General features: G+C 42.3%; 1 protein-coding gene across 1 annotated transcript, besides 4 other annotated features; it reads left to right on the plus strand.

Moving 5' to 3' along the window:
- Window positions 5,985-6,144: an enhancer, noted in NCBI's record as "active region_23369". NCBI's record gives its function as "activates an Ori minimal core promoter by ATAC-STARR-seq in GM12878 lymphoblastoid cells {active_cell/tissue: GM12878}" and the evidence as "EXISTENCE:reporter gene assay evidence [ECO:0000049][PMID:35858748]".
- Window positions 6,415-6,724: a silencer, noted in NCBI's record as "silent region_16491". NCBI's record gives its function as "represses an Ori minimal core promoter by ATAC-STARR-seq in GM12878 lymphoblastoid cells {active_cell/tissue: GM12878}" and the evidence as "EXISTENCE:reporter gene assay evidence [ECO:0000049][PMID:35858748]".
- On the plus strand, window positions 6,686-8,698 carry ADRB2 (adrenoceptor beta 2). Its single transcript, NM_000024.6, has one exon. The coding sequence runs from the start codon at window positions 6,907-6,909 to the stop codon at window positions 8,146-8,148; it is 1,242 nt and encodes a 413-aa protein (NP_000015.2). The 5' UTR covers window positions 6,686-6,906; the 3' UTR covers window positions 8,149-8,698.
- Window positions 6,815-6,954: a silencer, noted in NCBI's record as "silent region_16492". NCBI's record gives its function as "represses an Ori minimal core promoter by ATAC-STARR-seq in GM12878 lymphoblastoid cells {active_cell/tissue: GM12878}" and the evidence as "EXISTENCE:reporter gene assay evidence [ECO:0000049][PMID:35858748]".
- Window positions 7,001-7,586: an enhancer, noted in NCBI's record as "H3K27ac-H3K4me1 hESC enhancer chr5:148206489-148207074 (GRCh37/hg19 assembly coordinates)". NCBI's record gives its function as "activates a minimal SCP1, AML or CMV promoter by ChIP-STARR-seq in primed H9 embryonic stem cells {active_cell/tissue: H9 hESC(primed)}" and the evidence as "EXISTENCE:reporter gene assay evidence [ECO:0000049][PMID:30033119]".

Here is a 25,913-nt window from a genome sequence, read left to right on the forward strand (position 1 = left end):
CCAAACCGCTTCCATCATATATATATATATATATATATATATACACACACACACATATATATATTATATATATACATATATACATATATATTATATATACACATATATATTATATATACATACATATATTATATATATACATATATATTATATATACATACATATATTATATATACACATATATATTATATATACATACATATATAATATATATATTATATATAATATATATATAAAAATATATAGTATATATAATATATATATAAGATATATATATTATATATATGTGTGTGTGTATGTACATACATGTATATCTGAATGTGTGTGTGTGTGTGTATATATATATATATATATATACATTCACCATCACACAGTGTTCATTCCCATACCTGAAGGAGACTCAAGCAATTCCTCTCAGATTCAGCAAAAGAAGATTCAGTTAAGCACTATACCCTAAGGCATCCATTGCATTGTATGTAGTGACTTAATTTCTCTCTTATGTCCCTAGGAGGGTAAGAGATATGTCCCAGCTTTGGGAAAAATAATTTTCTGTAGGGCTTAATTCTCTTGCAAAATCCCAATTTGAGAAAAGCTGCTAGAGTGTAACCTCTTTGAATACTGATTCTTTTCAGACGAAGGAGTCTTTTGAACGGCCAACTGAAGTCTCCTCTGCTTTAATTTAATGCCGTCTCCTTTTGTTCAGTGCTTCTAAGATGTGGAGAATTTATTAGTATGTCTCATAAAACTCTAGTGTAGCAGGAAATTAAATTCATCTGGTATAATCAGCTGTTTGGAAAGATTTGCTGGTTGCTCTGCTCTAAGTTATGGTTGCCAAGGTGATTGCAAATTGATTGTTTGATGACTTGTTCTAGCATCTTTCCAGGTACTGATGTTAAGTTTAGACATAGACAAACCTAAGCAGGAATAAAAGAGGCCTACCATGATGGTAAAAGGGACTCTAGAACCAAGGGAACAAGGAATGTTTAACCTGAAGAGGTTTTGTTTGCTAAGGAGAACTTTAAGGGATTCTCCCAAAAGCTAGGACAGAGAAGAGACTTGTTTTCGGTGGCCTCAAGGGGGCAGACTTAAGATCCATGGGTAGAAGTGAGAAAATGGATTTCAGTTCAATACTGGGATAGCTAGAGAAATATGCACCTGCAAAAGGGGCTGGTAAGCTTGCTCTCTCTAAAAATACCTCTGAGTTTTGGTGGGTGCATTGTGTAAGAAGCTGACTAGATTGTGAGATGCTTCATTCAAAAAACGCTGACATCCCATCTAGCTATATTACTCAATGATAATAGTAACTTACAGAATCATTCTTCTTTCTAAAGAACCAAGTTTTGTCTGTTTTTTCAATTATTTTTTCACAGCAATCCAAATTAAAGGTAAATTAGCAATTATCCATGTTCAAAGGATCCTATCATACATTTCATACATGCGATTAGATAGGACCAATATGCATTCTATATCTATTTTTTGATTCAAAAATAAGATACTAACAGTAAGGTTTTTCTTCTACGGCAGTATGCTAAGCACTTGACATGCATTTAATCTCATTTAATGTAAATTTAATGGGATAATGCTGTACAGAGACATTTTTAAAGACAAGCATTTTAAACTATTGTTTGAAAAGAAATCTACAGATGTTTCTGTGCTCCAGGATCATACACAAGAAAGGACTCTTGTCTAAGCCAAGACCCAGTATAAGATTTTCCTAAGCATCCAGCTATTGGTGTGAGGGCATGCTCTGGCACCATGGAAGCTTACTCCTATTCAGACATTCATTAGGTAAATCCAGATATGAGGTTTTATTCCTGTTTGACAGGCTGGGAACGACAAATCAGTGTCTTAAGGGATTGACAAAATATGTAATTAGATGCTATCAATCACCATAAAAGAGCCTGCTTTTTCTTACATCAGATAAAGGTGCGTTTAGTCTACTAAGAACTTTCCAGTTCAAATGAAGCATTAACTCTCTAAGGTCATGTGAACAGTAAGCAGTGCTACTCGAACTCCTCTGCTGGGAAATAAAATAACAGCATTAGGCAGGGAAAACTTGTGAGGCCATGAGCAGACCTGGACTCCTAATTTTCCTTAACACTTTGGCCTGGACACTTCTTGTTTTTTCACTTCAGTAACCTCATTTGCAAACTTGGGGGAAATAAATTAACTGATATATTAAGCTCTTTCCCAGTCTAACTTTCTCTAAACCTAAAATCACAAAAGGAGGTCAGGAGAAAAGACTCTTAGTTAGCTGACTACATCTTGACATTTCTACCAGCTTGGTGAAGCAGCAGGGAAAGAGCGTGCATCCATTCGTCAAGGCTGGAGGGCAAAGGCCCAGAACTTCCTAATTGATATAAGCAGATTCTCCTTTTTTTATTATTATTATGCTTTAAGTTCTAGGATACATGTGCAGAACGTGCAGGTCTGTTACATAGGTATACATGTGCCATGGTGGTTTGCTGCACCCATCAACCTGTCATCTACTTTAAGTATTTCTCCTAATGCTATCCCTCCCCTAGGCCCCCACCCCCAAACAGGCCCTGGTGTATGATGTTCCTCTCCCTGTGTCCATGTGTTCTCATTGTTCAACTCCCACTTATGAGTGAGAACATGAGGTGTTTGGTTTTCTGTTCCTGTGTTAGTTTGCTGAGAATGATGGTTTCCAGCTTCATCCATGCCCCTGCAAAAGACATGAAGTCATCCTTTTTTATGGCTGCACAGTATTCCATGGTGTATATGTGCCACATTTTCTTTATCAAGTCTATTCTTGATGGGCATTTGGGTTGGTTCCAAGTCTTTGCTATTGTGAACAGTGCTGCAATAAACATACATGTCCATGTGTCTTTATAGTAGAATGATTTATAATCCTTAGGGTATATACCAGGTAATGGGATTGCTGGGTCAAATGGTATTTCTTGTTCTAGATCCTTGAGGGATTGCCACACTGTCTTCCACAATGTTTGAACTAATTTACATTCCTACCAACAGTGTAAAAGTGTTCCTATTTCTCCACATCCTTTCCAGCATCTGTTGTTTCCTGACTTCCTGTTTTTTTTTTGAGACGGAGTCTCACTGTGTCACCCCGGATGGAGTGCAGTGGCACAATCTCGGCTCACTGCAACCTCCACCTCCCAGGTTCAAGCGATTCTCCTGTTTCAGCCCCCAGAGTAGGTCAGACTACAGGCATGCCACAACTTCTGGCTAATTTTTGTATTTTTATTAGAGACGAAGTTTCACCATGTTGGTCAGGCTGCTCTCGAAGTCCTGACCTCAGGTGATCCACCCACCTCAGCCTCCCAAAGTGCTAGGATTACAGGCATGAGCCACTGCGCCCGGTCTGTTTCCTGATGTGTTAATGATCGCCATTGTATCTGGTGTGAGATGGTATTTCATTGTGGTTTTGATTTGCATTTCACTAATAACCAGTGCTGATGATCTTTTCTTCATATGTTTGTTGGCTGCATTAATGTCTTCTTTTGAGAAGTGTCTGTTCATATCCTTTGCCCACTTTTTCATGGGGCTGTTTGTTTTTTCTTGTAAATTTGTTTAAGTTCTTTGTAGATTCTGGATATTAGCCCTTTGTCAGATGGATAGATTGCAAAATTTTTCCCCCTTTCTGTAGGTTGCCTGTTCACCCTGATGATAGTTTATTTTGCTGTGCAGAAACTCTTTAGTTTAATTAGATCCCATTTGTCAATTTTGGCTTTTGTTGCCATTGCTTTTGATGTTTTAGTCATGAAGTCTTTGCCCATGCCTATGTCCTGGATGTTATTGCCTAGATTTTCTTCTAGGGTTTTTATGGTTTTAGGTCTTACGTTTAAGTCTTTAATTCATCTTGAGTTAATTCTTGTATAAGGTGTAAGGAAGGGGTCCAGTTTCAGTTTTCTGCATATGGCTAGCCAGTCCTTCTTGATTTAGTATTTGTGGGTTTTAAAAAAGGAGTTTCCCAAAATATTCAGTTAAACTTTTAAGTGACTTACGTGTATATCTAAATACATGATCAGTTAATATTTGTCTTAAAGGGGTTTTCTTTGTTCTTTTCTTATTATAGGAAGGTTAAACAATATGCTTATTTATGCCATAGCTTCACAAACAGGAAGGAGGTTTTAAATGGTTTAGTTCCACAATTTGAGTAGATGCATATTTAAAGAAACGTTGTTGCATAATAAATACTGCCTCTTCCTAAAATGCATCATGCCACAGCCAATTTTGGAAAACACAAATATGAGGTGAGTGTATTTTGAAAACTATGTGAATATAATAGATCTTTAATTCATATTTGTGGATTTTATGGGAAATACTTGTTTTCTAAGGCATCTGTCTTGCAAAAAGTCAGTTTCTGCTATGAAGGATGTTAAAGGGGATATGTAGGTTAAATTCTGTTTCTGAGCTTTGCTTCCAGAGTAAACACCCAACTTACTTTTGCCCTAAAGTATTTTATTGTTCTAGTAGAGAAGACTAACAACATATTCTAAACCACTAAGTAATTTATGTAAACTTCGCTTACAAACTACACTTGTGTGACACTTATATGAGCAAAAGCATTTTCATATTTCTTACTATATCATTCAATTCTTGCTTACCCCAATGGAAGTGACTTTATGCCCCTTTAGAGACAATGGAAATCAGGTACTTCGTGATTTCTCTTAAAAAAAAAAAAAATGAACTAGAAAGCTCCAAGTTTGGTGAATCTGGAACCTGGGTATTCCAGTTCCAGTTGTAGCCCTTCCTCCCTATCCATCACTCCTGTCTGCATGTAATTATGCAATACATTGAAAAGATTAAAAGATGGGTCTTGGACTCAGGCAGACCTGGGTCAAATCCAGATTCTGGCACTGCCCAGCCATTGCCCCTGGGCAAGCCATTTTCCTCTTTGAACCTCATTTGTGAATTAAGCTAAAAATAGTCCCCACCCCCATGGGACTGTGGGAAGGATTAAATAGAATAATGCATGAAAAGCAAATAGCAGAATGGTCCATAAATGTTAACCATTGTTATGTTATTATGTAATCTACAAAGTACGTTTAGTTACACTTCATGAAATACTTTCAGTTTTTCAAAGACACCACTAATACATGGGAAATCAAACCCTGAAAATTAATTTCACTTTAGCAGTAAAGTCACATGCCAGATGGAAAGGATAGTATTTCATGAACAAAGATCTTACTTTTGAGATTTGGTCTTACTTTTTTCTTTTTCTTAAGGGAGAATTATCTTGTGTTTTTTGTTTTGTTTTGTTTTGAGATGGAGTCTTGTTCTGTCACCCAGGCTGGAGCGCAGTGACGTGATCTCGGCTCACTGCAACCTTCACCTCCCGGGTTCAAGAGATTCTCCTGTCTCAGCCTCCCGAGTAGCTGGGACTACAGGTACGTGCCACCACACCTGGCTAATTTTTGTATTTTTAGTAGAGACAAGAGTTACACCATATTGGCCAGGATCTTTTGCTTTCTATAGCTTCAAAATGTTCTTAATGTTAAGACATTCTTAATACTCTGAACCATATGAATTTGCCATTTTGGTAAGTCACAGACGCCAGATGGTGGCAATTTCACATGGCACAACCCGAAAGATTAACAAACTATCCAGCAGATGAAAGGATTTTTTTTAGTTTCATTGGGTTTACTGAAGAAATTGTTTGAATTCTCATTGCATCTCCAGTTCAACAGATAATGAGTGAGTGATGCCACACTCTCAAGAGTTAAAAACAAAACAACAAAAAAATTAAAACAAAAGCACACAACTTTCTCTCTCTGTCCCAAAATACATACTTGCATACCCCCGCTCCAGATAAAATCCAAAGGGTAAAACTGTCTTCATGCCTGCAAATTCCTAAGGAGGGCACCTAAAGTACTTGACAGCGAGTGTGCTGAGGAAATCAGCAGCTGTTGAAGTCACCTCCTGTGCTCTTGCCAAATGTTTGAAAGGGAATACACTGGGTTACCGGGTGTATGTTGGGAGGGGAGCATTATCAGTGCTCGGGTGAGGCAAGTTCGGAGTACCCAGATGGAGACATCCGTGTCTGTGTCGCTCTGGATGCCTCCAAGCCAGCGTGTGTTTACTTTCTGTGTGTGTCACCATGTCTTTGTGCTTCTGGGTGCTTCTGTGTTTGTTTCTGGCCGCGTTTCTGTGTTGGACAGGGGTGACTTTGTGCCGGATGGCTTCTGTGTGAGAGCGCGCGCGAGTGTGCATGTCGGTGAGCTGGGAGGGTGTGTCTCAGTGTCTATGGCTGTGGTTCGGTATAAGTCTGAGCATGTCTGCCAGGGTGTATTTGTGCCTGTATGTGCGTGCCTCGGTGGGCACTCTCGTTTCCTTCCGAATGTGGGGCAGTGCCGGTGTGCTGCCCTCTGCCTTGAGACCTCAAGCCGCGCAGGCGCCCAGGGCAGGCAGGTAGCGGCCACAGAAGAGCCAAAAGCTCCCGGGTTGGCTGGTAAGGACACCACCTCCAGCTTTAGCCCTCTGGGGCCAGCCAGGGTAGCCGGGAAGCAGTGGTGGCCCGCCCTCCAGGGAGCAGTTGGGCCCCGCCCGGGCCAGCCCCAGGAGAAGGAGGGCGAGGGGAGGGGAGGGAAAGGGGAGGAGTGCCTCGCCCCTTCGCGGCTGCCGGCGTGCCATTGGCCGAAAGTTCCCGTACGTCACGGCGAGGGCAGTTCCCCTAAAGTCCTGTGCACATAACGGGCAGAACGCACTGCGAAGCGGCTTCTTCAGAGCACGGGCTGGAACTGGCAGGCACCGCGAGCCCCTAGCACCCGACAAGCTGAGTGTGCAGGACGAGTCCCCACCACACCCACACCACAGCCGCTGAATGAGGCTTCCAGGCGTCCGCTCGCGGCCCGCAGAGCCCCGCCGTGGGTCCGCCCGCTGAGGCGCCCCCAGCCAGTGCGCTCACCTGCCAGACTGCGCGCCATGGGGCAACCCGGGAACGGCAGCGCCTTCTTGCTGGCACCCAATGGAAGCCATGCGCCGGACCACGACGTCACGCAGGAAAGGGACGAGGTGTGGGTGGTGGGCATGGGCATCGTCATGTCTCTCATCGTCCTGGCCATCGTGTTTGGCAATGTGCTGGTCATCACAGCCATTGCCAAGTTCGAGCGTCTGCAGACGGTCACCAACTACTTCATCACTTCACTGGCCTGTGCTGATCTGGTCATGGGCCTGGCAGTGGTGCCCTTTGGGGCCGCCCATATTCTTATGAAAATGTGGACTTTTGGCAACTTCTGGTGCGAGTTTTGGACTTCCATTGATGTGCTGTGCGTCACGGCCAGCATTGAGACCCTGTGCGTGATCGCAGTGGATCGCTACTTTGCCATTACTTCACCTTTCAAGTACCAGAGCCTGCTGACCAAGAATAAGGCCCGGGTGATCATTCTGATGGTGTGGATTGTGTCAGGCCTTACCTCCTTCTTGCCCATTCAGATGCACTGGTACCGGGCCACCCACCAGGAAGCCATCAACTGCTATGCCAATGAGACCTGCTGTGACTTCTTCACGAACCAAGCCTATGCCATTGCCTCTTCCATCGTGTCCTTCTACGTTCCCCTGGTGATCATGGTCTTCGTCTACTCCAGGGTCTTTCAGGAGGCCAAAAGGCAGCTCCAGAAGATTGACAAATCTGAGGGCCGCTTCCATGTCCAGAACCTTAGCCAGGTGGAGCAGGATGGGCGGACGGGGCATGGACTCCGCAGATCTTCCAAGTTCTGCTTGAAGGAGCACAAAGCCCTCAAGACGTTAGGCATCATCATGGGCACTTTCACCCTCTGCTGGCTGCCCTTCTTCATCGTTAACATTGTGCATGTGATCCAGGATAACCTCATCCGTAAGGAAGTTTACATCCTCCTAAATTGGATAGGCTATGTCAATTCTGGTTTCAATCCCCTTATCTACTGCCGGAGCCCAGATTTCAGGATTGCCTTCCAGGAGCTTCTGTGCCTGCGCAGGTCTTCTTTGAAGGCCTATGGGAATGGCTACTCCAGCAACGGCAACACAGGGGAGCAGAGTGGATATCACGTGGAACAGGAGAAAGAAAATAAACTGCTGTGTGAAGACCTCCCAGGCACGGAAGACTTTGTGGGCCATCAAGGTACTGTGCCTAGCGATAACATTGATTCACAAGGGAGGAATTGTAGTACAAATGACTCACTGCTGTAAAGCAGTTTTTCTACTTTTAAAGACCCCCCCCCCCAACAGAACACTAAACAGACTATTTAACTTGAGGGTAATAAACTTAGAATAAAATTGTAAAATTGTATAGAGATATGCAGAAGGAAGGGCATCCTTCTGCCTTTTTTATTTTTTTAAGCTGTAAAAAGAGAGAAAACTTATTTGAGTGATTATTTGTTATTTGTACAGTTCAGTTCCTCTTTGCATGGAATTTGTAAGTTTATGTCTAAAGAGCTTTAGTCCTAGAGGACCTGAGTCTGCTATATTTTCATGACTTTTCCATGTATCTACCTCACTATTCAAGTATTAGGGGTAATATATTGCTGCTGGTAATTTGTATCTGAAGGAGATTTTCCTTCCTACACCCTTGGACTTGAGGATTTTGAGTATCTCGGACCTTTCAGCTGTGAACATGGACTCTTCCCCCACTCCTCTTATTTGCTCACACGGGGTATTTTAGGCAGGGATTTGAGGAGCAGCTTCAGTTGTTTTCCCGAGCAAAGTCTAAAGTTTACAGTAAATAAATTGTTTGACCATGCCTTCATTGCACCTGTTTCTCCAAAACCCCTTGACTGGAGTGCTGTTGCCTCCCCCACTGGAAACCGCAGGTAACTACTTGTAATTACTGCCCATGACTTAATGTAGAATGATACAAGAATGACATGCACAGATTGCTTAACCCTTTCATTTGCCTTTGAGTCTGCTGCTGCAAAGCTGCATCTCTCCTGACACTTGTGCCCCAAATCAGTTCTGCCTGCTCTTAGTATAGCTCAACTCTCCCTATGGTTATTGTTCTGTGTTGTTACCTCAGAAACACTGACTCACAGAAGCGGAGTTAAGGGGATATGTTTTTTTCTCTCCACGTGCACCCACCACCCACCTTCCAGTTCTACTTGTTTCAAAACTGTTTATATTTCTGTCTTGGCCATGTGTTACAGTGGAGCTCTTTGTACTGCATCAGGGCTTGGCATTTTAGGGATAAGGAAGATGTTCTTATGAGGAAGCTACTCAGACATGGCCCCGTAATTCTGAGGGAAAATTCAAAAGGCATTGGTCATGGGGAGAAAAGCTGGAGAACACATAACTGATGGATACCTCATGAACTAGAAACAGAATTTTAACCCCTTTTCCTTCTTTCCTTTGGTCCCTGTTTTCTTCTCCCACTGACTCTCCTCGATTCAGTGTAAACCAAGGTTCTGAGTCTTAGCACTGTTAGCATTTTGGACCAGATAACTCTTTGTTATGGGGGCTGCATCATTGTATGTGTAGCACCTCTGGCCTCTGTTCATTAGATGCCAATAGCACCCCCTGCTTATAACAAGCAAAAATGTTTCCAGACATTGCAAAAGAGCCCCTGAGGTGCGAATTAGCCCCTGGTTGAGAGTCACTGGTAGAAACTGTAAAAATCTCAGCAGATACATACATTCTTTCTAATGCAAGCGCTTGATTGTGCAGAGCCTTAGAGAGGGATTTTCACAGTTCACCTAGGCAGTAACAGACCCTCACCAGCACTCTTTCCATTCCATCATGCTGCCTTCTAAACTTGTTTTCTAGCTGCCCAAATAGTGATCATGAAATGTTAAGAAGGCTTTAAGTCTGTACATGAATTGTTTGAGAGGGTTTATCAATGGAGGTGAGGCCTGTGGGCCATGACTCCTGTTTGTGAAGAGATTATAATACTGTCAAGAGGCACGTTAGGGGAAATCACAAAAGTAAACACATTTCTTCTCCCAGCCCCTTTCTATTTTTGCCTGTGTGTCTGAGCCAGAGCTTGGCCCAGGTTTGATGAAGTGGATCGTCCTCCTTGGCAACGCCAGGCTAGAGCAGATCAGCCTGCAGGGTTCATTGCCATTCCACTGGCTCATGAAGCTGACTCCACTCCCCTCTTCCTTTCTGTTGCAGCCAAGGTCCCCAACCAGAAAAGCATTGGCCTTCTCTGCTTCCTGTCAACTCAATGATGGGATGTTTGGGTGAGCACCGAGCTATCAGGAGAAGGTTAGGCGCCTGTGATTTTGGAACATGCCATGGCAAATTGGAGAATGTGTGTCATTCAGTGCTTTTACTTTTTTCCAAGGGTTTTCATACCTATTGAAAACCCTTATTACACATTATCACCTTCTCTTTCTACTGCTATTATCACATTCTCTTTCTACTGCTCTGGTCTCCACACTCAGAGATTTGGGCAGCTTCTTTGGCTAATATTCATGCTCCCTGTAGCCTCATAAGATCTCAGACATGGAAGAGCCCATAGAAAGTATTTAACATCTGATGAGACTGAAACGCTGTGAGGTGAAGGGCTTGCCCAAGGTAAGCAGCCAAGGATGTCAGAGTGGGACTCAAGCCAGGGAACCCAACTGCTATTCCAGGAACTGCTGCATTCTCTCCACCACATTAGCATTGCGTTCTTTCCTCACCCTCAACTGGGGCTATAACATAACACATTCATTTCAGCCAATATATTTTTCTTTTGTCCTTAACACAAAATTTAGAGCATAAACAAATAATCTGCAATAGAGACAAAAGAAATAATTGTTCATTTAACTCAACAAGCATCCACTAGGATATCTTCTGCATTTAGGGAAGCTGGGAGATTCCTTAGCTCTTTATAACCAGATGTCGGTGTTGTATATATACTCTTTTGCCTAAAGGAATGTCTAATGTAATTTCTGTTAAAATTCAGGTATTAATGTTAATTCAGATTCCCAGCTAAAAGGAGAGTTTAACCATATTCACGTTCCTTTAGGAATACTGTAGACACAAGAACCTTGATTAGTTTTAAGGGTCCTGATAAGCAAGAGCATTCTAGGCATATCTTAATCCTTTGCTTTCTACCTCTTTGGTGTGTTGCTTTGTTTCTTTTGAGGGGTTGGCTTTTGTCAGTGTCCCTTCGTCTCTCTGTTTGCTGACATGCTGGCCACCTAAGGTTTGTGTTGTATTCCTCATCGTGAGTTTTTTTTTTGCCTGGACAGCAAGTTCTCAGAGTCTGTCAAATAAGAAGAACTTTTTTCTAAGATGCAAGCTGAGAGGTGTGAACAGTGGCAGGACAGGGTGAGCCTCCCCACTGCAATAATTAATGGGATAAGGAATCTGGAGAAAGGGGAGCTTGAGAATAGGAACTGTCTTTACATGATTCTTAGAATGTTTCTTATGGTGAACCTATTGCCAAATGGAGCCTAAACCAGAATCAGTCAGAAAGTATTTATGGAGCACCTACTGTATGCAGCATGAGAAAAGTATAGGTTTCCATTTCTGCCTTTTGGATCATGATATTAAGGATACTAAGCAGATACCTTTTATGGAATCTTACTAAAAGTTAGTGACTATGTTAGACACCTGTTAGGCGTTATGTCCTCACAACTGTATGATGTAGGTAGCATAATTGTCCTCATCTAACAAATGAGGGAGCTGAGGCTCAGAAAGCTTCAGTAACTTTCCAAAGCCATACAACCAACTAGTTGCAGAGTCAGGACGAGAACCCAGGTCTCTGTGATTCCAGGATCCATGGAGCCTAGCACCCAGGCAAACCAGGAAGCAGCACGAGGTAGCTTAGAATCTGTGCCAGAACAAGTGTAAGAACTGGAAATGCAATACTTTGTTGAGAGAAGACGGAGACTGCTGTGGGTTGAGGCAGGGAGGAATGTTCCCTTCCAAGCATGTGACTGCAGGGTTTCTGGGGACTGACACAAAAAACCAATCACTGAAGTGCCTAGTTTGCTTCTCCAAGTCTTTGTTTTGTCTTCTCATCAGAGAATCAGACCAAAATGGAAAGAGGATATGAAACTCTAAAACGAACACAGCAGAGTAAAGCAGAAACACAGGCTGCCCTACGTCCTGGCACTCTTTCTCAGCTCCAAAGTTGGGAAGGCCTCCTAAATTGAGTGGGTAGCCAGACCTTATGGAAATTTGATAGGCCTGGGTAGCCATATAGGTATGTTTTCCATCTTGAGCTAGCATTCTAGATCAAAGGAGATGATTTTCTGACAGCAGAGAGCAAGGAAGCTTAATATGCTTTGAATGATACTTTCCATTGACAGTATAACCTCTACTAAATTCAGTCTGTGCTAATCCATACTTCACTGACAGTGCAAATATAATTTGAAGGAGGGATTTTTCTAAATGCGTAAGAGAACAAACTTCCTAAGCACTTTCAAGAACTTGAGAAATTCTGGTGTTTTGTGAATAATAGGAGGCAGGGTGAGGTGAAAAGAGCCCCCCTCCAACCTCCCACCCACCACCCCACTCTCTCTCTCTCTGAAGTTGGGTGAGGCGGTTTTCTTCAGCCGACTTCCGTTTACTCATCTGTAATTTGAGGCCAGTACAGGTGGTATCTAAGCTCTGCTCCCCTCTGAATTTATACAGTTGTTAATTTACAGGCTAGAGATAATCATTTATATTTCTAATTAGAGTTGATGACATTTGCCATATAAACAATGGTTGAATATTCTGAAGGTTGTCAGCCTGCAGAAGAGAATGCTGTGAAGTACTATTTGGTGCATGATAATTGCTTTTCAGTATGATCTAGGGGGGAAAAAAACAGATTTCTCGGTTCTGCATGAATACAAGAAGGCAAGCAGAACTTTACAGAAAGGCAGATTCTAGCTCGGGTATAGGAAGACTTTCCAAAGAGCGAAATAAATGATCTATCAGAATTGTGAACCTCCCGTTTTTGGAAGCATTCAAGAGAAGCCCAGATGAAGCTGAAGCTCTGTTCAGGATGAAGCACAAGGCCTGCACTGAGCAGGAGGCTGGGCTAGGCTCTTTCCAAATCTGTGATCCTATGTCCTTGAAAACAGCAGACCTGAATGTTCTTAAAGTGTATTCAAACTGTTCCCTAATTCCAGCTGGCCTTCTCCCCAATTCCTCTGGATTTCAGAGGTTTCACTGCATTCCTAAATGGGAAACCTCCGGGGGAAATCAGTATCTCAACAACCTTTGGCCATGGGGAGAAATCCAGAAATAGAGCAATAAGGTTAAGCAGTTTTCCAAACTATTAGACCTTTTCATCAGCTGCTCTTCCCATGCCTTTTGCAAATGACCTACTAACTCCCAGAGCGAGAATAATGAGAGCTGCAAAGTCCTCTCTGCAAAGACTATTACATCCTTCTCCACCCTCGGAATCATTGCACTTCCTCTGGTCTTTTTGTCACCCCTACAGGGCAGGAAGGAATAGAGGCAGGTCCCTGGCTAGCACTGGAACACTTCAAAGCTTCTAGCCCCAAAGCCTGGAGACCTGGGGTCTGTCATAGCCCAGCCACTAAGAGTCTGGGTAACCTCAGGCAGGCCACTTCCCTTCTCTAGACCCATTTCATCACCTCTAAAGAGAGATGCTTTGGTTTATATGGGTCCTCTGTTTCCTTCTTTCTCTAAAATTCTGTAAGATATTAGGAAGTCTTCAGCACCACACATCTGACTGCATTGCTTTTATTTTTAAAAGCATATTTTTTTCTTTTTAAAAGGATAATGGATAATTATTATAGGACATTTAAAAGTATATGAAAGTATAAAATGAGATAAATCCCACTTAATGTCACCACCTAAAGATAACCATCAATAAATTTGATGATGTATATGCTTCCAGTCTTTGTTCTAAGCCTAGCTATACAAATGTACATAAATATATTTGTAAATGAAAATAGAATTATATTATTTATACTGTTTTGGATCCACTGCTGATACTTTTACAAATGTTCCCTTGAACTTACTTTTATGTATACTGTGATACAGATGTTATAATTCCTGTTTGCCCATTGGCCTGATTTTATAGTGTTCAGGTACGAAAGAATCACCACTCCCGGAGAGTCTGAATCACAAGGTCTGAGTTGGGGTCTAAGAATCTGCATTTTAGCAAGTTTCTCCAGGTTTTTCCAACACAGATCGTCCATGGGCCACATTTTGAGAAATAAGGCTACAAAGATATAAACTTTGTGTAAATCAGAGAGAATCCCTCCCCCTGCCCCTTGCTAGTGGATGAAAAAGATGTTTCTATACTTGCCTTGCTGAAAGCACACTTTCTGCACCTGGGCTCTAATCTGCTTTCGGAGCAGAGGAAACTAACCACTGAACACCCAGGACAGAGTTCTTTTGACATTGTTGAATGCCTCCTACCCAGCCTGTTGATTTGTGTGAAAATAAGTCTATTCAGGTCACACAGTGACCAATAACTTCTGTTTGGAAAAGTGCAACAGTAGGTTTTTATTCTCATAGAGAGCCTCTTTTGATAATAGTAACTGCTAATAGCTACGAAGTGCTTCTTATGAGCCAAGCATTATAGTTGGCAATTCTGGTGCATGCTCTCATTTAGTATTCACACAATAATATGCTATTATGTTTGCCTTCATTTTATAAATTGGAAAACTAAGACTTTCAGAGGTAAACTAAGCTGTCCAAGATCACATAACCCACTGGAGTGAAACCCAGGTATTCTGAACCAGAGTCTGTGTGTGTGTTTTGCCACTAGAATAGGCCGTCTGTCTTTTCTCAGTTGGAGATCAGGTAAGAAAGAAGGAAGGAGAAGATTATGAGAGGTTATTTTTAATGGGTGCATTTTGTTCTAATTCTCCATGGAATCTTCTCAGAGGGGCCTGATTAATGTATGCCCCTTGAGACCAAGGAGCAAGCACTACTGTCTAGGCAGGTTGTGATTAAGTATAAACTAGGAAACAGGATCGTACTTAGAGTCGGCATCTCTGTCTTTCGCCATCATTCAGACACAGTTTAAGTGAGCTTCCCCTGCCAGATAGCAGGGCAGAAGGAGACACCTGATCACAGCACAATGGTTTGCACTGAGTCAAATCACCACTTTCGGGCCAGGAAGCTCTTGACATCTGGAAATTGGGTGCTCTTGCCATGTCTCTGACAAGGTCTGTGTCAGCATCTGAGGTTTCTCATTAGAGAATAGCAGGGTGAGATGGGCCATGACACAGCCTGTAACTCCTTATTCCTTAGTGCACTGGCTGCAAAACCTGGGCTCAAGGTGGCTGGGGTCACTGGGCAAAGTAGGACAGGGCCCCAGGGAGCATGCTCTCTGCTGGCTTGGTTTATTTTATTTTATTTTTTCCAGTGCTGTGAGGGGAAGACGGGAGTTTTTAAATTGGTTCATATATCCAGGGAAAGAAAAGCGTTTTTAAAATCATAACAGCAACACCCATGACAAAGCAAAAGTAGAATTCTAGGGAACTCTTGGTTTTTTTTCAAGCACACCATACCGATTTTACAACCTAAGGCTTGTGTCCCAAAGCCACAACTCTTTGTAGGGGGAATTTTCTTCATTTCTTCAATTCTATCTCTAAAACTACTGCTTAGTTTTCTTTTTATAAAAATCCATTTAGATATTTCTAAATATCACAGACAACCCTTATGGTCTGTTGGTGGGTTTTTGTTGCTGTTGTTTTATTTTGTTTTGTTTGTCTGAGAGGTCCTCATGGTTCTTGTGATATGTATTGCAAAAATAAGTCTGTTCTGCTCACAATGTTGCTCACAAACATTCAAACTGGGTTTCTTGTTTCATTTTCCACAATGTCTACAAATCCAAACGTTCACCCAGCATCCTCAATGCAAAAGAATAGACGGTTAACCTGAAGGACAGAGTGGTGCCAGCCTTAGAAATCTTTTTTTATAGAATTGTGAAGGGGTTAGTTGTGTCAGTTTACGTATGAATTTCTTGATGTTATTTTATTTTATGGCAGTTACAGAACACAGAAATGATTTGGGGAAACTTCTGAGAAAATGAACATTCCTGACGCCCATTCTGAGATTCTGAGCTAATAGCATTGTAGTTGGGGGCCAGGAATCTGCATTTGCCACAACTTTCCCAGAGGACGGTAAAGCGGGTGGTCCAAGGATCACAATTTGGGGCCATGGGAGATCACACTGTCTTCTTCTTCCCTTCCTGCTCTACAGCACAGAAAGTAGGCATGTAAAAGCTGATCATATATGGCTGTATGCATGCACACAAATAGCCGTTCAGTCAAATAAGCAGAAGTCGTATTTTCCTGTGTTATCAAATTTAAAAAAGAAGATGAAAACAATTCGTAAATTAACATAAAAGAGGAAGGTGATAATAAAATGCCTTGAGCAACTAGGCACTTAATTAAAATGGTGTTTTGTCACTGACATGGCATTTAACCAGGGATACCTCCAACCTCCCAATAGCATCACTGTCACCTAGACTCTGGCCCTCTGCATGTAAATGGGGAGGTAGCAGCCCAGGAAGAAAAACGAATTTTGCTCCAGTGATAGGTTCCTAGTCCAGTGTTCCTTCCTCCACAACACCTGCCTTGGGTTAAGTCAAATTATACTAAGGTGCATTTGGATCAGTTCACCTAATGCATATAAACCCTCCTTCTTAGAAATCTGAAAGGGGACCCACCCAGCTGCAAAGAAGAATATGACTCACACACATGTATATATACACTTCCACAGATGTACACACCCAAATAAACACACACATAGACTTTTACCTTGATGCCTATACCCATATCAGCAAAAATGCACACACACGCATTTTCACATAGATATTTGTACAAATCTAGGTTTTTTGTACACTTCCATATGATTGCTTAAATAAATGTAGGATGTAGACATACTCAGTATATATTGTCCTTAGATAGAACACTCTTCCTTAGATATATACTGGCATAGGGATCCTTAAGCAGACTTCTCTGTGCTCCAAATGAGTAAATATGCCATGTCATGTCATCATGGTCATGCTGATACCTAAGTACACGCAGATTTATATGCTGACCTCTCTCCCTGTGGAAGTGTATACACCTTTCATTCAGTACCTGCTGATAAGGCTTGGCTGTGTCTCCAACCAAATCTCATCTCTAATCATAGCTCCCATAATTCCCATGTATTGTGGGAGGGACCCGGTGGGATATAGTTGAATTATGGGGGCAGTTTGCCCCATGCTGTTGTCATGGTAGTGAATAAGTCTCATGAGATCTGGTGGTTTTATAAGGGGAAACACCTTTCGTTTGGTTCTTACTCTCTCTCTCGCCTGCCGCCAAGTAAGACATGCCTTTTGCCTTCTTCACGATTGTGAGGACCCCCCGCAGCCACTTGGAACCGTGAGTCCATTAAACCTCTTTTTCTTTATAAATTACCCAGTCTTGGGTATGTCTTTATCAGCAGCGTGAAAATGGACTAATATTCATGTCTGTTGAGTACTCATTATATGCCAGGAACTGTTTGGTGCTGAAGATCAGTGGGTGAACAAAAGCAGTTGATCCTTGCCCTTACTAATTCTGCATGTAACTGAAGAGGTACATTTTTAAAGTGCATACAAAAAGGGCAACTATGGTAAGTGCTACGAAGAAAATATAGCATGTTTTGAGGGAATCCAGCTAATTCTGGGAGGTCAGTAACTGTTCTCCCAAAGAAGTAAAGTATCAACCAATACCTGAAGAATGGCTATCTGATGCCTAGAAAAACAGAAGAGGGAAGAACATGGTGCTTAGGGAGAAAAGCACATGCAAATGGCCTGCGGTGAAAGGAGAGCTCTGAGTAAGAAAGATTAAGCAAAGGTCAGTGTAGCTGCTGTGCAGAGAAAGGAAGGGCATATTGGGGCGCAGGATGAGCCTGCAGGAGGCAGACAGGGTCACACTGTGAAGAGTCTTTTAAGCTGCATTAAGAATTTGGATCTTTAGCCTTAGAGCATTTAGAAGCTATTGATGTATTTGCAGCAGAGTTCAGATTAGTATTTTGAGAGAACATCTCTGAAGATATGCTTACTTATACAAAAGCATTCTCATATAGATAAGTGCACACAGATGGGTCCATGCATGCATTTGTGTGTGTTTTCTTTTTCTTTTTTTTTTTTTTGAGATGGAGTTTCACTCTTGTTGCCTAAGCTGGAGTGCAGAGGAGCAATCTCCACTCACTGCAACCTCTGCCTCCCAGGTTCAAACGATTCTTCTGTCTCAGCCTCCTGAGTAGCTGGGATTACAGGCATGTGCCACCAGGCCTGGCTAATTTTTTGTATTTTTAGTAGAGACAGGGTTTCACCATGTTGGTCAGGCTGGTCTCAAACTCCTGACCTCAGGTGATCCACCTGCCTGGCCTCCCAAAGTGCTGGGATTACAGGTGTGAGCCACCGTGTCCAGTCGTATGTTTTCTTAGAAATGCATATAAGTATTCACTCACAAGCTCTGCCTCTCAGAATACATCTCTCTGTATTTACATGCACGATGTATATAAACCTGGTATGTGTTGGGAGGCAAGGAACACCATCCTCATGGGGTATCATTAGGCCTAAGCCAGTCTTGGAGGTGGAGTGGTGGGGGGACTAGGGAAATGATATATCCAGCCTCAACACTCTGCCTTTGTAGCTTCCCTGGGCTTTGCTGCTTGGCCTCATGCATGTGCCACCAGCTCTACTCCCCCTCCTCTTGGCTCAGAGTACCCAGGGACAAGGTGGGGTTTCTTCCAGAACATGATCATTGACTATTCTTGGCCTGGGCAAGGAGGGGAGGCTGGGCAGGCCGGGTTACATAAAGATTGCCTTGTGCCCTCTCAGAGTTGTAAGCAAAGCCTTTGCCTAGCTCCAAGCCTGGAATACTCTTTGCATAGAGTTGGTAATACTGAGAACTAAACACAAGTAACAATGGGGAAACATAGAGGTCTTCAGGTCCTGGTGGGGACTGTGGTGGGACTAGAAGTAGTGCATCCCATAAGCAACCACTGTATGCAACACTGGAGGAAGACACAGACAAAGCCCGGTAGGAAAGCCTGTTCAAGGCAAGATATCTGTCTATTTTCCTCATCGCCTTGGCACAATAAACACACATACACACATATTTACACATTAGCAATTTTCCCTTCAGTGGGTGTAGCATCTCACAGCAGAGGAAGCACCAAGTAATTTATGAGCCACGATACTCTGAATTATTTTCCCTCCAATGAAATAGAACTATATTTACGTACATTTTGCTCCTGTTTACTAGCAGAGTCAGCAAGGGCTTTAACCAGAGCCAGTGATAGTCTCCAGGAGATCAGTGGAAACATTCATGCAGAAGCAAAGGCTCACCTAAAGCCTTACAGGCCATAAATATGGTCCCAAATGATTTTTTCTTTAATTCATTTATTTATTTTTGTAGATAGCTCACTGTCTCACCCAGGCTGGAGTGCAGTGGCACAATCATAGCTCACTGCAGCCCCAAACTTCTGGGCTCAAGCAATCCTCCCACCTCAGCCTCCTGAGTAGCTGCGACTACAGGCTCACACCATCATACCCAGCTAGTTTTTTTTTTTTTTTTTTTTAGTTTAGTTTTTATTTTTTGTAGAGACAGGGTCTATCTATGTTGCCCAGGCTGGTCTCACCACTCCTGCTCTCAAGCGATCCTCCTGCCTCCACCTCCCAAAGTGTTGGGATTATAATTTTTTTATATTCTAAAGATTTCTACCCACTGAGATTTTGTTTTCCAATGTAAGCTTAGAAAATGTTTCCTTCCAAAATTAAAAGGAATCTGATAATGTAAGTTGAAGTTCTTTTCATTTTGCTTTAGGCTGTGTAGGAGACATGCTTCTTTTCTCTTTGTTGGTTGCCTTTTTATGCTAGCAAGGGACCAGATCCATCACACTGCTGCAGATCATAACACTCAAGGGGACAGTGTATGATAACATTTCCTCATATTGACCCAGAATTTACAGAGGGCAGTTTGTAAAGGGCTTATATATCTACCATCTTGTTTAATCCTCATGACAACTCTGAGGTCAGCGTGGTTGTTCCCATTTCACAGATACAAAGACTGAAGTTAGAAGACTTGCTGAAGGACATGGAGCAATTGTAATACATGGCTGGGTGAGAACCTGAATTCAGTTCTTCATGTTCAGGCTCAGAAAATAACACAAGTTTTGCTACACTCTCCTACCCTCCTAAGACTTAGGGCTCTTCTCAACGTATTCCTCTATTTTCTGGTGCATTCTTGTCTTATAAAGTCAGGGTTAACCCTCCCCAGCACTGAAGCTACAGCTCCCAAGTTGCAGATAAGCAATTGCCTGCTCCAGGGACAGCCCCAGGATGCTTTTACTGTTGACAAGCCCCAAGCTTGGGTGAGCTCATGTGGTTGGTAAGCAACAGTGACTCTATCAACTGTGGCTTAGAACGAAAGCTCTGAGCCTTTCACGGTCCTTGTGCCAGCCACCAGATGCACCATCACCAAGTCCAAGCTGTGGACCATGTGCTCTTCCCATACCTGTCCTCCTGGCAGCTTAGGCTCTTCTGAGGCTGTTTTTGTTCACTTTGCCTAACTCCTCTTGGGTCAGCGTATTTCTGTGGGAAGACCCAGTGTGATTTGCCCCCATCTCACACCCACTTGAAGCAGCCCAGCCAGTTTTAAGGGCCAGGTTCCACACCTCAGTAAAAATTGCAGGCTCTGGGAAGTTATTCAACTTTTTGAAAATCACTAGTGTTTGGTTGAAATGTTTTATTTTAGTCATAGCAATTAAATGTTCTTGTTTTGCACACACATCTTCCAAAAGATGTGCCTTCAGCATAGGTGAATAGCATACAATGGATTTGGGAAAGCTTGGGGTGAATGACATATACCAACCATAAGAAAAGATTCTGTTGATAATCTCTTCTCCTCTGAGTGTCAGCTTGTCTGTTTTGCTTAGCTTTCCATGCAATGTTGTGACTCATTCATTCATTTAGAAATTTTGAACACTTACATATGCCAGAACCTGTGCTAACTTCTGGGGATACTGCAGTCATCAAAATAGGCATGGTTAATTCCTGCCTTTGAATTTCTTATGGTCTTATGGAGAAGACGGGCAATGAAAAGGAAATTATAAAGAATATGTGGATCTTCTTCCCTAATGCTAACATTCAGGGAAACAGGGTGAGGAATGAGAAATTGGCTTCTGGATTTTGCCAGGAGATTCAGGAAGATATCTGATATCTGTCAACCTTGAACTGGTCTCTATTTATTGCATAAAAATATGATTATTTTCTCTTTAAAAATGCCTCAGGAAAAAGTAGAGTCGCAGGTGGCTCCCAGGATTCTGAATGTCTCAGTTGTGGTCCACTTCCAGAAAATTAAGTCCAATTCTGAGGGTCACATTTTTCAAGGGAAAAATGCATTTATCTCCCTTCTAAGGTTGCCAAATTTAGCAAATAAAAATATAGAACACCCAGTTAAATTTGAATTTCAGATAAGCAGTGAATATATTTTTCATAAAAGTATGTCCCAAATATTGCATGGAACATATCTATAGAAAAAAATATTATTTGTTTATATGAAATTTAAATGTAACTGGGCATCTTATATTTTAATCTGACCGCCCTAATAAAGAACTATAGAGAAGACAGCGAGAAAACCTCAATTCTATGTCTCAAAATGGAGGAGACTGGCTTTTTGGATTAGAAACAATGATAGTTAAGAATCTAGATTTATGTAAGGAAGCATTTTCTGAGCATTATTCCCAATAATATATATGGAAAATAGTAAAAGGAACAGCAGGAGGAAAACAAAAATTGAGGTCAAAAGTTTGAGAGGACAGAAGTTTGGAAAATAAATTGCACAACCAGTATTTCCCTTTTGGAGTTCATATTAGGCAGTAGCATCCTAAAAGTGCTGAGAAGTTTTGTAGGAAGCATACCTGGTTGACCTGATTTAACCTGGCTTGCCCACAGAGTTCTATTTATGGGTTTTTGTCTGTTTGTTTTGGTATGTTTGTTTTATAAGGACACCTAGTAACATCGTGCAAACTTACTACTCTGCTCAGCACACTTTGGGGAACGCTGGTATAAAAAATGAAAGGTGTCTTCAAATGTTTAGAGTGTTGCTGGTTAGGGGGGAAGTGGACTTGGTCTTGTAAACCAAACGGTAGAGCTAGGCCTAAATCATGGACATATCTGGGAGGCAGATTTGGCTCCATATGAAGACTAGAACTTTCTAACAATTAGAATAGTCTGAAAGGTAATGAGCTCCCTGTTCCTGGAGACATTCAAGCAGAAACAGAATGCTGTCAGGGACACTGGAAGAAATTATTGCTGTGTAGAAAGTTCTCCGGGTCTGCTGTGAAAAGCACCTTCATATAAAACATGGACGGGGCCTCCACCAGCAAACTTTCTTTAAAACTATGCCCCATGTTCTATATCCCTTTTGCAGTCTAAGTACCTCCCTCCTTCATCCACCTTTAATATGTTTCCTTCCCATCTAGAACCCAAAGAGATTAGACTTCAAAAGTGAATGATCTTTGTTCTGATAGGGCCCTTTTAATACCCTAGCCCAGCTATCTTGGATCATCCACCCTGAGCCTCTGGCAGTGGCTCATAAACTTCAGAGGTAACCTCGAGGTCACAGCAGAGCTTAGTGGCACTGCCCCACATAGTGCCCATGGTAGCGTATAGGATCACCAGGCATTTGAGGCACACAGCATAATGGAATCTGACAGACAATCAAATCCTAACCTTGCCCCTTCCAGAGTCTGTCACCTGGAGAAAGTGTCTTAGCCTCTCTGAGCTTTACTTCCCTCTGGGATAAAACAAGGTAGTGGAGAGCGGGGATAATGATACCTGCATCACAGTATTATGAAAATTAAAAGAGATTAAGAGGACATCAAGGATCCTGCCAGAGTTCCCAGTACATAGTAGACATTCAGTAAATGTTTATTTAATGTATGAATGTGATTGTTACCAATATCATAGTAGCAAACATCCAAAGAAGTTGAAAGACTTCTTTTAGAAATCCACTAATTAGTGTGCCAAGATTTCAGGCCCCTGACAAAGAAATAAGCTGGAAAGTATCGAGATAACTTTCCTTTTGATAATACATTCTTGAGAACAGAAACTAGCACATGTGTATAGAAGAACAGAGTTTTCCTTCCTGCTGTCTAGAAAGAGCACTGGAACTGGGGGCAGGTTGCTTCAGCTCTTGCCTTAAGTAACTCTACAACCTCATCCATTCTGGACTCCAGTCCTCATCTATAAAATTAAGGGGCTGGAGTAGTCCCAGCTACTCTGGAGGCTGAGGCAGGAGAATGGCATGAACCCGGGAGGCGGAGCTTGCAGTGAGCTGAGATTGTGCCACTGCACTCCAACTTGGGCTACAGAGTAAGACTTCTCAAAAAAAAAAAAAAATTAAGGGGTTGGATTCTGGTTTCTTCTGGGTCCCATGAACTGTGCCTTTGAATTGGGTGGTAAACGCAGATATCTAGCAATGCTATTGGTCCACTATTATTAGTAAAGACCACGCCAAACCTAAAACAGTGTGTGTGGGTGTGTGTGTGCACGTGCATGCGCACGCTTGCATGAGTGTGGACGGGCACACACATGTGTGCACGTGTATGGCAATACACAGAATGCACAAGATGCTTTGACATCACTTAGATTGTCCCCTGCTATTGTGCCTGTTTGCAGGTTTGGCAAATAGACCCCAAATTAGTTGTGAGGGAGTGAGATGACCACTGACTCAGAATGGGGAAAATTAAATTCAAGTCCCAATCCTGACTGTGCTGGCAAAGTTTGCTTTCTGCCTCTGGGGGTGCAGAACTGAAGAGAGCCCCTTGTTTCCCTCCCCATCTTTCATGGAAAGGATTTGGTTCCAGGATCTCCCAGTTCTGTGTCTCTTGGGAAAGTGTCTCTGATCTATTTTCGTTTGAATTTGCATGTTCTCCACATGGATTATCATCTGGCTGACTCGAGTTTTGCTTATTTCTTTTGTTTGATCTGCTCGGGTTTCATAACGCAAGCTCTAAGGCCAATTTTAGCCCTTCTTGGATTATGAGAGTGTCAAAATTAAGATATTGAAGAATTTGTCATGGTTTCAGTCAAGGATACTTGTCTCCTCCGCCCCCACCCTCCCTGGTGAGCCTTTCCACTTTGGCCCAAGTAAAAGCCTTCTCCCTCCCTAGATCCCTCCCTAAATGGAGTCTGGTTTTCACATTAGCTGAGAGGAGGCCCTGAAGTCAGAAATCCTCGGCACATGAGTCACTTTGTCTCTTTGTGCCTCATTTCCCCCATCTATAAATAAGTGGAGTCTCGCACTTTCTCATCTCCCAGTGTTGGAGGGCTCTCCATGGAGGTGGCTTTGTGCAGACCAAGGGCTCCTTCCTCGCTGGCACACCCTGCCTTCCAAGGTGGATTCTCTTGACTATCAGGGCCCAGGGGGATTCTCTAATAAAACAATGCATCTCTCTGTCTCCCGGCTTCCACTCCTGGCCCCCTCCAAGGCCCCTTCATTACTGTCTGTGTGACCTTTCTAAAACGCAGCAGGTAGCCTTGGCTAAAAAGCCTTCAGTGCCCTGCCGCTACCTTCAGTAGAAAGGTTTCAGCAAATGAGTTCAAAAGGAAGCACGGTGAAAACTGACACAGAGAACTAATAGCACACCCAAACACATGCCAGTGTACAGCCTAGATCCATTTATTTGAATCTATAAGGTGGAAGGCAGTGTTCTGAGAATAAAGGGAGGAATAAGACTTGGCCCCTGTGTCTGAGAAGCTTACATCCTTTTAAAGCTAAGCAAGTATATAAAAATAATAATGTTTTTACTTTTTTAAGTATTGGAAGTACCTTAGAAATCATTGACTTTGCCCAACTGCCCCATTTTACAGTTGTGGAAACCGAGGTCATAGAATTGGTAAATTACGAAGAAAACTGTGTTTCCTAGTAGGTCTCCCTGCCTTCACTCTGCCTCCACCACCAGGAGTCTCTGCACCCAGTCATCTTTCTAAGGGGTGTGCCATCCATCACTCCCCACGCAAAACCTCTCTGTGCCCTCCAATGCAGCTAGACTGAAGCCTGTGATGTCAGTGTGGTCAGATCCCTGCAACCTCAGCTTGTGTTCATGGCACACTGTGCTTCTGCTACCCTGGCCTTCTCTCTGCTGTGTGAACACACTAAGGTTTAACCCTTCCCGTTGTCTTGGAGGGGAAAATTCTCCCAGATATTCAGGCTTCTTTGTGTCATTCAGTCTCACTCAGCTCAAAGGGCACTTCCTCTGGGCTGCCCTAACCCCCACCAGACACCCAAACTAGATGCACAACGCTCGTCACTCTTTCCCATCAGCCTGATTGGATGCCTCTAAAGCATGTACCACTATCTGTACCACTGCTCATTTATTCATTGTTCATGTTTATTGTTTGTGTCCAATCACTGACAGGAAGCTGCAGGAAGGCTAGGATTCGTCTCTATTTCCAGTGTCTAGAACATAATTGATTCATAGTTGATGCAGAAAAAATATTTGTTGAATGACTGAACAAACAAATACATATTGAAGGAAATTCAAAAATGCAGGATAGTATAAAAATACAAATAAAAATCACCCATAACTCCTAGTTCTGGTATTACTTTTGTTAAAATTTTTTAGTATTTCTTTTTTTCAGGTCTCTTTTCTATTTGTGTACATATGATATTCAGTATGCATTTAATAAAATTGGGACTACTGTAAATTACAGTTTGTCTCTTGCTTTTTTCCACTTATTGTATGGTATTTACATGTGTTAGGAAATAATGTTTTTAAATGCTATTTTAAGTGTTGCACAGTATTTCATACACATTTTTCAAAATTAAGCATTTCCCTATTGTTGGACCCTGATAACTTAATTTTTTTTTCTAATTGATCTTCCCTCTCCAAACCATTCTAATAGCACTTGGCTTTTATGATACTTGTGGTAACTGTTCCTAGCTGTGAGTAGTTGGGTAAAAGACATTCATTTCTTTCCAGGAAATATCTATAGACCCGTCCTTAATTTTGTATGTTTTCTGTGGTCTCTTTCAGTGGGGATTGACTTGGTTCATGACCCAGTTATT

This window comes from Homo sapiens, chromosome 5 (assembly GCF_000001405.40).
Source record: "Homo sapiens chromosome 5, GRCh38.p14 Primary Assembly".
NCBI classification, from domain to species: domain Eukaryota; kingdom Metazoa; phylum Chordata; class Mammalia; order Primates; family Hominidae; genus Homo; species Homo sapiens.